The 16,011-nt window shown below is 36.6% G+C and overlaps 1 protein-coding gene across 14 annotated transcripts in view; it reads left to right on the forward strand.

Annotated features, from left to right (window-relative positions):
- The first annotated feature begins 15,311 nt into the window (after positions 1-15,311).
- GRIA4 (glutamate ionotropic receptor AMPA type subunit 4) overlaps positions 15,312-16,011 on the forward strand; it is a 372,097-nt gene continuing 371,397 nt past the window's right edge. For 9 of the 14 annotated variants that reach the window (NM_001077243.3, NM_001440382.1, NM_001440392.1 and 6 more), the window contains exon 1: positions 15,391-15,746. The gene's annotated coding sequence lies outside the window, so the exon portion shown is untranslated. Of the gene's footprint in view, positions 15,342-15,390; positions 15,747-16,011 lie in introns of those variants that run through there. The other 5 variants (NM_001440383.1, NM_001440386.1, NM_001440395.1 and 2 more) reach the window with 1 other exon arrangement.

The raw sequence follows: 16,011 nt of genomic DNA on the forward strand, positions 1-16,011 counted from the left end.
AGTTCTTTCTAAATCCTAGGTGATAAAATAGATTATTATATATTTAATTCTGATCTAAAACACTAATTATAGACAAAGATTGTCAGAATACAAAAATAAAACAAGACCCAACTATATGTTGTCCACAAAAAATCACTTTAAATATAAAAACAGAGCTAGGTTAAGAATAAAGAAGTGGAAAAAGATATGCCATGTTAACAACTGATAAAAAGAAATTGGGGACCAATATATCAATATCAGAAAAAGCAGACTTCAAGATAAGGAAAATTACCAGGGATAAAGACGGGCATTACATAATGATGAAGGAGTCAAATCTCCAAAAGTATTGTATGTGTATGCACCTAATAACAAGGCATTAAAATACTTGGTGCAAATATTTATAGGACCACAATGAAAAACAGACAAATTCATCATAATAGTTAGAGTTTTTAATGTTCCACTCTCAGTAACTGACAGATCCAGCAAGAAGAAAATCAGTAAGAATAAAGACGTGATCAGTACTATCATCAACATGATCTAATGGATATCTATAAAATAGTCTATCCAATAATAGCAGAATATACATTCTTTTCAGGCACACATGGAACATTTACCAATATAGATCACAAATGTACAATACCAATGCAAAATATTAATAATAGGAGAAACTGGGTGTGGAGTTTCTGGAATTTTTTATACTCTATAATTTCTCTGTAAATCTAAAACTATTTTAAAACAAAAATTACATTAAAAATGCAGATGAGAATTTTCAGTGTATTTAGAACTGTAATGTTCTAATAAGTACATTATACATGGAAACTCATAACAATGGGTTTTAGATCTCTAAAAATATATAAAAAATTAAGATTTCAAGTTTGTTACATATTTAGAAAGAAATGCAATTAAGTTACAAAATGTATTTTCAATACTAGCATAGATATCTTTTAATTAGCAAAATAGACAGCTTTGAATATATCAAGTGTTGTTTCTAATTATGTAATAAATTTCAATATGTAATATATGATTTAATTATATATGAAATAAACACTCAGAAAATATTTTGGTACCTGTTACAGTTTGTTTGATCCCTCCAATTCTCATGTTGAAATATGATCTCTAATATTGGAGGTGGGGCCTAATGGGAGAGTTTGGGTCATGGAGCCATATTCCTCCTGAATGCCTTGGTGCCTTTCTTGTAGTAGTGAGTGAATTCTCTAATAGTTACCACTAGAGCTGGTTGTTTAAAAGAGCCTGACGCCTCCCCTATATCCCCTATATCTTGCTTCTTCTCTCATCATGTGATCTCTGCATGCACCACCTTCCCTCTCCTTCTGCCATGAGTGGAAGCAGCCTGAAACCCTCACAAAAAGCAGATGTTGGCACTATGCCTCTTGTACAGCCTGCAGAACCATGAGCCAACTAAACCTCTTTTCTTTATAAGTTACCGAGCTGCAGGTATTCCTTTATAGCAACACAAAGGAACTAAGCAGTATCTCTATTATGTTGTTAACAGTAACACAAAGGGTCTAAGAGGTACCTGTATTATGTTTCTTAATTATGTTGGTGCTTGTCTTAATAGTAGATTTTAAAGACTAATATCAATGTTTATATATAGTCAAAGGCAGTTTCATGACTATCAAATGCTATGATAAAGAATTATGAAGGGCCTAATATTAACTATTAAAAAGCATTCAAGAATAATAAAAAATCTGCACAAAATGCCACTTAACATTTCAAGTTATTGTTTATTGCAATTCATTAACAAACCAGTCAATATACAAACTTATATAATGGCAATATAATTATTTCATGACAGAAGTCAGTGGTCTCCTGTTGACAAATGACTACATCATTGCAACATGTCCTTACCACTATGTTTAAGGTAGTATGTGGCTTAAAGTTTACCTGATTTAAATGTGAAGAGCTTTCTGTAAAGTTCACACTCCTTCATGTAGAAATCACAGTTTAGTATTACTCTTCCATGAAAATAATATAACATTCAGGAATATGAGGCAATGTGCCATCTTCTAGTACAATGTAAGTCTTCTTAGACTACTTCAGAGTATCTGAATTATTGAAGAATTTCAATCTTTGTATGTTTTTACAAGCCAGTACAAGAATTAATTTTTCCATAGACTAGACATGTATTATTCTTATACCTAGATTATTATTATACCTAGAGTGTAACCAAACCAGTGAAAGTAATTAAAATGCTTTTTTCTGAATCCGATAAATACACATTATATATTGTGTTCAGGCATTGCTTTACTTTTTGTCATTTATCTTTTATAAACAAAACCGTTGGCTGTTTGAAAATTTACAAATTGTTTTGCTGTGTAAAATATAAAGAAACCATCAAGTTTCAAGCCCTTATTTCATATTATATATTCATTACCTATTTGAGATTATTTAATTTCTATAGATACAGACTAATCAGTTTTAAATGGATTCTCACAGAACTGAGTTTTACCCTTATTATGTTTACAGCACTCTATCTTGTACTACAGTTACTTGTGAGTTTTATATCTCTAGGCAGGGTGTTTTTATGCACTTTGGTATCTTTCCCCAAAACACAGCATCTTCACATTGTAGGTGTTCAACAATCATACAAACTTTTGTATCTCTCTTCTCTTCTGCTCTCCCTTACCCTCCCCTCCCCTCCTCTCCTCTCCCTTCCTCTCTTCTTCTCTCTTCTTCCCTCTGTCCCTTTTCTTCTGCGAATAAAATGGAAGGCTTATAGGCTGTGGAAGTCTTATAGGTGTGTCATAGAATACTGACCTCAGTTTTGGGGATAAACAGATGATGATTGGAGCTTCCAGAAACTTTTTGGCCAGTCAAATCTATATTAAAGTAGAATTATCCATGTCTTCTCTAAGGGAGATTCAGATGAATTGGAGTCATTATCTACTGTCTCACAGGCAGTTAGCACATTGAAGGATAATTAGCACTCACTGCTCATCTGCAAGGCCCAGAGGACAACCACAAAAGTGATCCACTACATGGCTGGATCCACCACATAGCCAGCTGCAGAACATTGCCCATTACAGAAGAGGCCTATGAAACTTTTAAGAATTCTTCTAGATGCCTGTGGAGCTTGTAACTCAGCCCAAGGCACTATCAACTGAGGGTCAGAGGACAGGGAAGTTGAGTGGGTTTCCTAACAGGTGACTCTTCAATTGATCACCCCCAAATTTTATCTTCAGATACTCTGTCCCTTTGCAATTGATGTGCTTTGCAATAGCTTCACTTTGGCGGTGAGGTCACTCTTCCAACAATGCATGTGAGTTGTGTAAATCAAGACTCATTATTCTTTTAATACTCAACACGAGAAACTTTTATTACAGCCAAGATCTGTACCCATTGTTATAAGAAATTTCAATTTAAAGTTGTCAATTAAAAAGACAAATTGTTTAATAATCTCAACTCTAGAAAAGTGGTAAATAATTATACGAATCAGTTGACATTTTTATTACTAACTTCTGTAAACAGAGTTTTTCACAAATGAAAACTAACAAAAGTGTGGAGAAGTTAGCAAATAAAAAGTCATGAAGAATTCAATTTAGCCATTTGAAACATAAAACCTGATTTAAAGAAAAATAGAAGCAAAAATATATGCACAGGAAGCTCAAATTTCTTCTTAAAAACTGAAACAATTATTTTGACATTTGATACAAATTCATAACTCGGTATTTTCCTTATAATTTGCAGTTAGTTATTTTTATTTTTATTGTTTAATACTTCAAACACTTATATATCTATATCCAAGCCTGATATCGATGTCTTCAAGTACATTTCAATTTTAATTTCAACACCTCATGCCATAATCTGGAAAAGGTGAAAGGCCCTACTTCAGAAAGACAGGCTCTATCCCAGATGTTGCATGAGCTCTGAAGGAGCTTCCCCTCTTACCAGTTAAATGAATATAAACTGAAATGTCTTCAGCAGAGTATGAGGCTAGCACCTGGGTGCTATAGAAATGCAGAATACTAAGTAATTGCATTTAGCTGGAGAATCACAGCAAAAGTGAATACAAGAAGAAAAAAATGAGGGGGAATAAACATACAAAAAGAGAAGATAAAAGTTATTTTTCAGATAGAGAGAATGGTATGTTCAAAAATATAGGAGCAAGACATTTTTACTGAGTTTCATGCTGTCATCTCATTTCCTCTCAACTCACTACAACTAGATTTTATCACTCACTGATAAGCTTAAACTGCTTTTGGAACTTCATCAATAGCTTTTTATGATGAATGACCAATTTTCTGACTGTGTTACGTGTGATCTCTGTAGCATTTGGCACAGTTATCATTTTCTCTTCTGGATACTCTATTTTCACCTGAAGTCCCTGACATCATTTTCTCCTGGCTGTCTGCTTAGTCTGATTTCTCTTTAAGGTGGGCTTCTTCCTTTTGCCCACCCTAGTCCTCTGGAAAAAGTCCTAGGTCATTTTATTTTCCTATCCAACACCCTTTCCCTGAATTTCCTGTCCCTTCCATCTGGTAAGTGACCGCAGGTAGTCTGATCTGTCCCAGATTTACACATCTGGTCCACATCTCTTAGCTGAGCCTTGGATTCAAATGTTCTATTGCCAATAAGATGTATCAATTATGTATCTATCAAAGTAACGAATGAATCACAAAATTAACTGGTTTCTTACCCCCAACATTTTCATTTTATTATGTCTACATTGCATCAAAAACTCATTAGCCCATTCACCAAAGCTGGAAACCCAGCAGCCATCTTTTCTCTTGATCTCTAAATCCCACACCTAGTCATTTCATGCAGTCCTACCACTGCTCTCTCTGAAATCCATCTACTACTATGTGCCACTGCTTTATCAAATTATGAGAAAAACACAGTTTACGAAGTTTTAATATGCAGATTTACATTTTGGGGTAAGACCCCTGGTCCCTATGTTAGCCTTCCATATGTCCATCCATCATACATGAGTTTTTCATAAAAATAGTGGGATTCATACAATCTAAAAGGGTTAATAAGGATGCCTTAAATCATTGCTTTCAGCTTTTCTGGGCCGTTACATACTACAAGATGCTTTCAAAATGGTAAATTTCATAAACACAGGTCTTTAAATTCTAGATATTTGCCATTATTTGCAATAAGAAGCGGACTGACTATAAAAACCATATGACAACACTGAGGTTTGTTATTAATCTAAGGCAAATTACTTGAAAGAACTGGCAAGCTTAAGAAAAAGACAGTGTTCTGCATATGCTGACTCGTTAGGGAAAGTCATTGTCAGTAAGGTGTTATATAACAAAATTATGTATACATGTATATATTTTTGAAGCAGTTGTGTAGAAACAAATACTTTGTCCCTTTAAAGTATAGATGACATTTTAGCCATTGAGAAAATAACTGCTTTTTGGTAAAAACAATTCATATTATAAAAAAAGTCATTCTGAAAATGGATACTTGGGAGTTTATCTATCATCATGTGGTTTTGTTGCTGACAAAAATGTACATGTATCTCCTAGGAAACAAGTCCACTTAGTTGAAAAACTCAGGAATATAGTCTTCAAATAAACAGTTCCTGTATATTTTAAACCTATTACTAAAATAAGACTTTTGATAAGATCACAAGAGTAATTGAATGAAAATTTCAACACATCAGCTTTTAGCAATTAGTGTATAGGATTGAAAAATAAATGTGGTGACAAGGTAAACACAACACAGTAAACTTGTTCTAGTTGGATTTATATGTTTTTATGGTGTATTTTTCAACTTTGATAGCCATTAAAACCAGTACAAAACAAACTGAAATTATAACCCCATCTTCAAATATCTGTAGCATAAAATATTAAAGCAAAATTTCAGAATGAATAGAGTACATTTGATCACATTGCTCTCACAAAAACATCAATAAATAAAATATACAATAATATAAAGCATATAATCTTATTAGACTTTATTAAAGATTATGAAAACAATTAACACGAGACTAAGACATTTATCAAGTAAAATTCACTTAAAATACCTGTATTTTCTACATTTCAATTTTTATATTTGCATGATCTTATCTTCAAATACATTGTGTTGAAGTGCAAATATATATATATATAAAACATATATAGATGTAATTTATAAATACTGCTAAATATATATTGGGACATATGCTTATTTTATTTTACTATTGCAAAGGTGCAGTTAAGAATTTTGATACTACTATGCAATGTTCAACGTCCTTCATAAGATTGAGGTATACACAGATGCCTTGTGTTTTCTATGCCTATAATCTGTCTCACCCCAGTTCTAGCTTACTCTATGCATCTAGAATGAAAACTCTGCAAATGCCCAGAAAGTCTACCAGTAGAAAACATACAACCCCGCTTCAGTGCCTTTTCATAGCCTGTCTGATACTCAATTTTTCTGTCCATTTGATATGTTCCTTCTCTGCCCATGTTACCAGGGATTTTGCTTATTTGATATGGATTCTACCTCCAAGCAAGACAATCTGCATGCTTTTATACTTGTTCTAGAAGCATTTTAATTTGTTTGGTTTTGGGTTTTGTACATTTTCTTTTCTTTTTTCTTTTGAGATAGAGTCTCGCTCTGTCACCCAGGCTGTAGTACAATGGTGCCATCTCCGCCTACTGCAACCTCTGCCTCCTGGGTTCAAATGATTCTCCTGCCTCAGCCTCCCAAGTAGCTGGAACTACAGGTGCACACCACCACACCTGGCTAATTTTGTATTTTTAGTAGAGACAGGGTTTCACCATGTTGGCCAGGCTGGTCTCAAACTCCTGACCTCAGGTGATCCTCCCACCTCAGCCTCTCAAAGTGCTGAGATTACAGGCATGAGCCACCACTCCCGGCCCTACACATTTTATTTTCTCCAATTGCAAAGCAAACTTCACCCACTTTTCTCCATCAATCCATGAAACTTAATATTTCATTTGAAAGTAATCTCCCTTATTACATACTTAATATTTATTTTCTTAGGGTAGGCTTCATGTTCACTTTTTTGTGATTTTATTAAAATATATCTCAAGTAATATTTTACATTTGTACCATACGATCAAATATTTTACTTATGTGCAATATCTATCCCTACCCACAAAATTCCTATGAGGAATCTAGTTATCAATTTCATCTGTAGCTGCATCCCACCCACTATTTCAGAACAGTGAGAGATTAGTAGATATTATCAATCTATAATAACAATACATAAAAGCATAACCAATTTGATTTAGTATACATGCACAACAGATTACAATTTATTGGCTTTAAAAAGTCTGTATTTATCACTTATTGTGATGATTTTAAAGGATATATTAAACCATCAATATCAAAATGACCACAATAATAGCAACAATAAATTTTAGTTTGAATGATATTGTCTGGGATAAAAGTATGCAAAAGAAAATAAAAATCACCCAGAATTCTACAATCTCTAGAGAACCACGAATAATGCTTTCTCTAATATGCATGTGGCTTTATATGCAGAATAATATCATATTTCATGTAATTTTAAAATATGCTTTCTTACTAACACTATATTTTTTATTTCTTCCAGAACGAAAGTATTGAACAAATATTCAGATTTCAATGGTATATTTAGAGACAGTAGTATTCAGTACTTTTATAAATGCCTTATCTATAATCTCTACATTAGACTTCTAGGAAAACACACATTGCATGAGAGTTTCTGAAGGGTCAGGAAAGCAGAGAGGTTTGTGAGCAAAACCGTCTTGAAAGTGAGGTCATTATGGCTCCATGTTATTTCTGTTAAAAATGCTATGCAAAATATATTCAGTCACAGCCAAGGATATTTTCAAGGGAAGGTAGTAGGATAAGGTGTGACTAAATATATACAACTCAATCTCCTCAGGTGCTAGAAAAGAAATGGGGGAAAGGAATCAGAAAACAGGAGAGAGAATGTTCAGTACACAACTTAAACTCAACAAACTGAGATGAATATGATGAATAATAGGAACTTGGAGATGGAGGTGTGACTCTAGTGTAAATCAGTTTGAATTGTTTTAAGAACCAAGATGGTTATATAACTAGAGTGTCCACCTTTATTTTCTTTATTTAATATTTTACCCTTCCCAACAAAGTAAATATTTCCATATGAAATAAATAAATTTCCTTCCTTCGTCCCTCCCTGCCTCCCTCCCTCCCTCCCTCCCTCCATCCATCCCTTCCTTCCTTCCTTCCTTTTTCGAGATACAGTCTTGCTTTGTTGCCCAGGCTGGAGTGCTGTGGCGTGATCTCTACTCATTGCAACCTCTTCCTCCCAGGTTCAACTGAATCTCCTGCCTCAACCTCCTGAGTAGCTAGGATTACAGGCACCCACCACCACGCCAGCTGATTTTTGTATTTTTAGCAGTGACAGGGTTTTACCATTTTGGCCAGGCTGTTCTCGAACTCCTGACCTCAAGTGATATGACTGTCTTGGCCTTCCAAAGTGCTGGGATTACAGGTGTAAGCCACCGCACCCGGCCTAAAGAATTAAATACTATTTATCTAACTTTGTTACCATGGCATTGTGTTAATTGTCTCAGTAGTTACTGATATTTCTACAAAACTGTAAAAGTACATATTTTTTCCTTCCTAAATGTTGTATAAGCTTCAGCTTAAATCAGAGCCAAAGCAAAGATAACTGGTACAAACCAAACTCTTAGCTTTTCTCATACATATATATGAGAAATGTATAGTCCAAAAAGCACAGGCTCTATGCCAAAAAGATGTTGTTTTGAATTCTGCTGCACCATTGCTAGCTGAGTGACACTGGGCTGGTTACTTCATCCCTCAGAGCTTTAATTTTCTCATCTCTAAAACAAGGCAAATGCTATCTCAATTGAAAGATTGTTTTAGGAACTAAAAATTGCATTATTATATCATAGTAGTTGCTTAATAAAAGACAATTATAATCACTACTGTTATATTGTACAAAGTAAAATTACATTTAAAAATACTGAATATGTATTTTGTGAATGTGTCCAGTGCAGATGTTTAAATTGGAAAACATAATTTAATATTCACTTTACAAAATCTGAGATATCATTTAAAAGAATTTGATTATCCAAATAATTTTATTAATTTTCCATCAACTGCCTGAATATGAATCACGTTAACAAAATGACCTGTGACTCATTAGGATAAATACTGTTAACAAGGAGGAAAATGTATAGCTCAAAGCTTCATTTTGTGTCTTTTGTCAATTTATGTAGCAAAATACGTATTAATGTCTGCTCTATGCCAGGCTTTTCAGAATCTGGCTTTTTTTTTTTTTTTTTTTCTTGAGACACAGTCTCGCTCTGCCGCCCAGGCTGGAGTGCAGTGGCAGGATCTCTGCTCACTGCAAGCTCCGCCTCCTGGGTTCACGCCATTCTCCTGCCTCTGCCTCCAGAGCTGCTGGGACTACAGGCGCCCGCCACCACGCCTGGCTAATTTTTGTATTTTTAGTGGAGACGGGGGGTTTCACTGCGTTAGCCGGGATGGTCTGGATCTCCTGACCTCGTGATCCGCCCGCCTCGGCCTCCCAAAGTGCTGGGATTACAGGCGTGAGCCACCGCGCGGGGCGCCAGAATCTGGCTTTAATCAAACTCCTGAGCCTGATTGGCTACTAATCCCCATCATGATTCCTACCTTTGGCTACTCGTTGTTCAACTAATACACAATCACCTCTTCCCTTTGTCTGGAATGCGCCTCTGTTTCTTAGCTCATGAAAACCTTTCAGCCTTTTATAACCCAGTACAAATATTTTCTTTCCCTGATGCTTTAATTGACTATTCCTCTCCTAGAATAGGCATTGAGATGCAGAACCAGCAGTGGGATAGAAGTAGATTCTTGCTTAATATAATATGATTTTTGCCTAGAAAGAGATCACATCAGGTTTCTACCACCAAAGCAGGGTTTACAACATAATTCTTTGTACTCATTTCTATGTGTGTGTTTTTGCATATATGTCTATGTTTGCGATCCTTTACTTGTTGGGAACAAATACCGTGATGAATAAAACACTTTCCGTTCCCTCATGATACTGTGATCCACAGAAAATGTTCTAGAAATATATGGTGAATGGATGAGTGAAGGAGGGAAAGACTGCCAAGTTCTACTCAGTGACCTCTTTCAATTACAGTGACTTGAGAGAAGAATGAGGAACATAAAACAAGAAAAGTAATCTTTTTGGTGTAATGAGGATTCTGTAGTCCTGGAAGAGAGATAATTTATCAGCATTAAAGTCACGCACAATGTCAATCAGTTTCATGGAGAGACCATGTGAGGTAGACAGATGACAAAAGATTAATCAAGCAACTGCTATAGGGCAAGATTAGTGTGCTGATTTCATGCAAGGTTGACAGATAGATAAAAAGGTAAAGCAATATATTCTGTGAGGCACTAGGGTATTGTTCCTATTGCTGGAAAGTGACAGCAGCAAAATATATGAAAACTGGAAAGTATCAGCTTAACTGGAGAAAAATATATAGGCACTGAAAAAAACTAGGTTTTGCAAAGAAATCATTAAACTAGTAAATACACAAATAAATTTATTAAATTGTTGGTAGTCATTTGAATAATGTACTCACTTCTTTTAGGACAGAATATCACAAAAAGTGCCATATATTTATATTAATGTTTGTGAAATTTGATGTTTCCTAGGAATACAGATAACTAACAATAATAGACATGGGTTTTCAGTAATCACCAGTAGCTGAAAACAAAAATATAGTACCAAAAATTCAATTGTTTTTGGAGAACTTAAGTTTAGGTTTAATATAATAGATAAATGTATTTAACTTGGCTGTGGGAACTAGGTTTCTTAATGTTGGAGAAGTAAGGTACGGATAAGCAAGAAGGGAGATTAGAATGAATGCTGTAGTACTGAATTTTAGTTGCGAACATCGGTAACAACTCATTTTTAACTTAATACATAGATAGATGGATAGAGAAACAATTATAGGTATGTACACCAACACGGGTTATACATGTATAACCAAGCACTGTCCTATGTGAGAGTCTGGAAGCAATGACAACTCAGTAACAGTTAGCAACCCCATTGCTAGATCTTGGTTTTTAAATACCAATCTGCAATGAAAAGAATCAGGACTCCTTATTGAAAAGGCTCATACTAAGGCTAGGGCAAGGAATATAAAAGGTAATGTACAGACAGCTTCCTATAGTGACAATAAGGCTGGAAATGTTCAGAAAACAAAAGGATGGACATATATCAATAGCTCCTAATGTCCAAAGCTGGACCAACTTGAACAGCACAATAAATAACAAATAGCATAGTATCAGACTATATAACCCAAAGTATAAAATAAACCTAAATTATCATCAATGATAGACTGGATAAAGAAAATGTGATACATATACACCATGGAATACTATGCAGCCATAAAAAAGAACAAGAACATGTCTGTAGCAGGAACATGGATGGAGTTGGAGACCATGATCCTTAGCAAACTGACACAGGAACAGTAAACCAAGTGATGAGAACACATAGACACACAGAGAGGAACAACACACACTGGGGCCTTTTGGAGGGTGGAGGGTGTGAGAAGGGAGAGGATCAGGAAAAATAACTAATGGGTAGTAGGCTTAATATCTGGGTGATAAAATGATCTGTACAACAAACCCCCATGACTCAAGTTTACCTATGTAACAAACCTGCACATGTATCCCTGTGCTTAAATGTTAAAAAATAATATAAACACATAAATATACATGTGTCCACACTGATTTAAATTAATGACTACGTTTTTTCAAAATGGGAGAGAAGAGACGATGCTTCAATACAAAAATTTCAAGTAATTTATGTAGATACTCTCCCCTCGTGGAGAGTAGGATATAGTTAGTTACTCACTTCCAAGGAATACAGTATGGAATAAAAACAAACAAACAAACAGTTAATTTAGAGTGGATAAAATGTGCAAAAACACTTTAACCAACTGATGAAGGTTAATGTCACCAGTGACGTCAGGGGATATCATGGATTCCATTGTATGATGTGTTGAGAAGAGCATTTCACCTGTATGGTACTCTTTTCTGAAAATCCATAACCCCAGTCTGATCCTGAGAAAAGTATCAGGCAAATCCCAATTGAGAGACATTCTGCAAACACCTATCCAGTACTTATCAAGCTGTTGATGTCATATGAAAAACGAAGATGAAACTGTCACAAAACAGAACAAGGAGCTATGACAACTAAATATAATGAGGTGTCCGGAGCTAGATCCTGGCACAGAAAAATACTCTAATGGAAAAACTGATATAACTGTAAATAAAGTCTGGTGTTTAATTAACAGTGACATACCTGTGTCAGTTTCTTATTTTTGACAAAGGTACCAGAGTAATGTAAGATGATAACATTAAGGAAAACTGAAATTGGATGAAGGGTACAGGGGAACTCTCCGTAGTTAATTAGAAACACTTATGTAAATAAAATTATTCCAAATGAAAGGTTTATTATTAAAAATATGGGTTGGTTTCCTAGCATCAGATTTCTGATCTAAAGTACAAATCTGGTCATTTTGCCCCCTTGCTTATAACCGTTCATTGTTTCTCTGTCTCTATGAGACGAAGACAATGCTTCTGAGTGAGATGGTGCCGAGCCATCTCTTGCTTTGCTTTCCAGCCGCACTTCCACTACTTCCCCTCATATAACCTGAAGTCTAGTTTTACCAAGCTTTTAGCAGTGTCTAGAAAGACATAATTTTTCTCCACTTGATAATCCCTACAAACACATAGCAACTCAGTTCAATTTTATTTTTCTCTCTGTGAGTTCTCCCTGAATTCCCTCAAAGTCAGAGTTAGACACTCTATTTTGCTCACATGGCACTCTGCACCTCACTCTATAAGAGCCTTTATCACATTTTGGGGGGCAACTCATTATTGACAAGAGTTGCCAGTTATGTGCCAGAACTGTGTTGAAAGTTTACTTATATCCTGTCAGAAAAGAAATGTTAGGTAATATATCCAAGTCAATACAGCTAAGAAATTGAGGGCCTGTAATCTGAAACCAGTTACTAATTATTAGTCTGAAAGCCTGAGGTCTTTCAGGTAGAACACACTACCTTTCTGAATGCTAGGATTCTTGTAGTTTACTTTTCAGCTCCCAGACCCCTCGTCACTCCTTAAACTCATTAACACAGCAGGTTTTAATAAAGACAGCCCAGTCTCTGAAATCAGACAACTTGAGTCCCATCCTTAGTTATGGTTTCATCACTTACCAAGAATATAATCTTGAGAAAGAATCTAAATCTTTAGTTGGGTTACCTAACAAATGCAAGGATACCTAAAATTTTCTGTAGATCAGGTAATATATGTATGGCTTCAGCACAATACCTTGCACATTAGTGAGCATTCATAAACATTAAGAGTCTTCTAAGAATATCAGGGATTTTGTTTTGTTCAACTTTATATCTCAAACACTTGGAGAATAAATACACATCATAGGTGCTTAATATATAACTATTTGACATATATGTACATCTATATACATGTATATACGTATATAATATATGTATATATGATATTTCTATGTATCATACAGAGAAAATATATTTGATACATACATTTATAAATATATGTGTATATAATACAGATAAAGAGAGTTTAGGTTTAGAAAGTAAAATAGAGGTTTTAACTACTTGGGAAAATAGAAATTAAAAACAACTGGATTACTATTTTGGAAAAATATAGTTGTGTCATCTGTGGTTATATTAGTCCAGGTGTTATCATGACAGTTAAGTGGGGAAAAAAAACTTGTCCTGCATCTATATCAATGATGCTATTACATCATATGAAAACTGAAATCTTTCAATTTTGAGAAGAATTAAAGTTAATAATTGCCTCTGGATCAGGAAGAGCTTCACTAGTTACCCAAGCAAGTGATGAGTTTAACAGTTTGGTGGATTTTGAAATTTTAATTTAACTTGAATTTTATGTGTCATACTCTATTATCCTTTTTCAAGAGAAAACAGAATGCTATTATTCACAGCCTTGTTTTTTAACACAGAAAAATAAAAAAAGGAAAAATGCTTCAAATTTCACTTGACTTGCAAGACTAAAACTTCACAAACTAAAATGACAAATGTATGATTTGTAAAATACAGTTACAATTAGGTTTTTTTTTTCATAACAATCTGTGGTGAAATGTAACGGGAAAGCAGACACTTATTTTAAAGATGCAATTTTAAAAATAAAATTCAAAACTTAGGAAATAGAAAAGCACTCAAGTTTTAGCAGGGATTTTAAAATGTCATCTACAAACTACAAATACAGGTAATCAGTGACACCAAATAAAGTATTTTGAAAGAGTTAAGGTAATGTATATTTCAAAAAGCCGTTACCAGGCTTTCTGTAAGTCCCTTGCAAGAATTCCACTTTAAGCATTGTAGTCTCAAATATTATATCAGGCAAACCTAGGCATTTGCTATATTCTTTTTAAAAATTTAATGGCAGACATCACCCTAGGTTCCCTAACGTTTAAGGAGAACCTCTCCTTCTAATGATTCTCTCACACAGCTTATTGGAACAGGAGATTGTATTTACTAACTAGATCAGGAAATCTCAAACCATACAGAGGAAATCAGAAACCGGTCACTCACGGCTACCACAGTGACTGCTTCTGAGTGTGGTTCAAGCTCAGTCCAGGACAGGCAGATGAAAGGACAATCTTAAAGGTGACTCTGGAGAGCAAGTGAGACTGTAACCCCAAAACTTTCTAGGATAATTCATTTTCACTTCTACCCAGTCAAAACAACTATTGACATCATCACTGAAGTGCTTAAGTCTACCTGGAGGTGGCGTGGAGCAGAGTGAGCATTCCAGAGTCCCAGACAAGAGGAGATGTGCACGAAACACTATCTTCCTGTCAGACACCTGTGCCCACTGCCCCAAGCACTGCCCCTCTGGTCCTTCATCAGCCTTTGCGCTGTGTCCCTCCTGCTCCTGCAATGGGCCACAGCACAGAAGGAAAGAGTCCTCCGGAATGGGTGACTGTATAGAAAGCAATCGAATCTTTAATCACTTTTCCTACTTTACACTTCACGCAGTTCTTATTCCTATCCCTGCTTCATGCCTTTCCAAGAGAATGTTAGAGGCCTCTTTCAATTTTCATTTCTCAGTCTTTTCCCCATCCCGTTCAGTACCCTAAACTTCGTCAGTTATTTAAAATAACCTTTTACCCCCTCCTCCCCTTCCCAGGATGTTTCAACTTCTCTGGCTCTCTTCCCCATCCTTACCTCCTCCAATTCTTTCATCCTGGTCCTGGCCTCTTAAACCCGCCAGGGGCTGCCCTTTGCCTGTCTTTTCTCCTCCCATCCCTCTCTGAACCCTTTCACCTCATCCATTCCCTTGTCAGGCTCTCCAGATTCCCGGGCTGTTTGCTGGTGAGAAATCTTTGCTGCAGCGAGGACCGGAGTCCCCCGCGCGCAGCCCAGTGGCAGAAGAGGGCTAGGCTGAGAGGGAAGCCAGGACTGTAGGAGAGGGAGGCAGCCCGTCCTCCTCACGAACCTGCAAGGATGCGGCAGGGGCCTGGGGGCATGGGGAGGTACTAACCCCCCGGAGCCCCCGATTGGGGCTTGCAGACCTGGCCCGTGGGCGGATTTTCTGCCTAGCGCAGCCGAGAAGCAGAGGTGCCAGGAAAACCAAGAGAGGGGCGCTGGGGGTGCCCATCCCCAGAGTCGGTCCCTCTGCGAACCGAGGAAGAAAAGAGGAGGGAGTCAGCGAGTGGTCAGAAGGGAAAACCTGACACCAGACTGGCTCCGGAGCGTCCGGGAGACTGGGGCGCTCCGGTGAGCACCCAGGGGGTGAAGCCAGCCGAGCGGTGGGCGAGGGGCGTGCGGAGGGAGTGCGCGCTCGAGGAGGGGACGCCAGGAGGGCAGCGATGCTCCGGGCTGGTGCAGGCTTGCTGGGGGATGTCGGCTGATGCGAGCTGGAGAGCGCGTGTGGCGGCCGCGGCGCCAGTGTTTGTGTGTATGTGAGAAAGCAAGGGGCGAGCGCGAGTGCGAGTGAGGCAAAGATAGAGCGCATGTCTCATCCCTGCGAGCAGCCACTAGA

The sequence above is a fragment of the Homo sapiens genome, chromosome 11 (assembly GCF_000001405.40).
Source record: "Homo sapiens chromosome 11, GRCh38.p14 Primary Assembly".
NCBI lineage: Eukaryota > Metazoa > Chordata > Mammalia > Primates > Hominidae > Homo > Homo sapiens.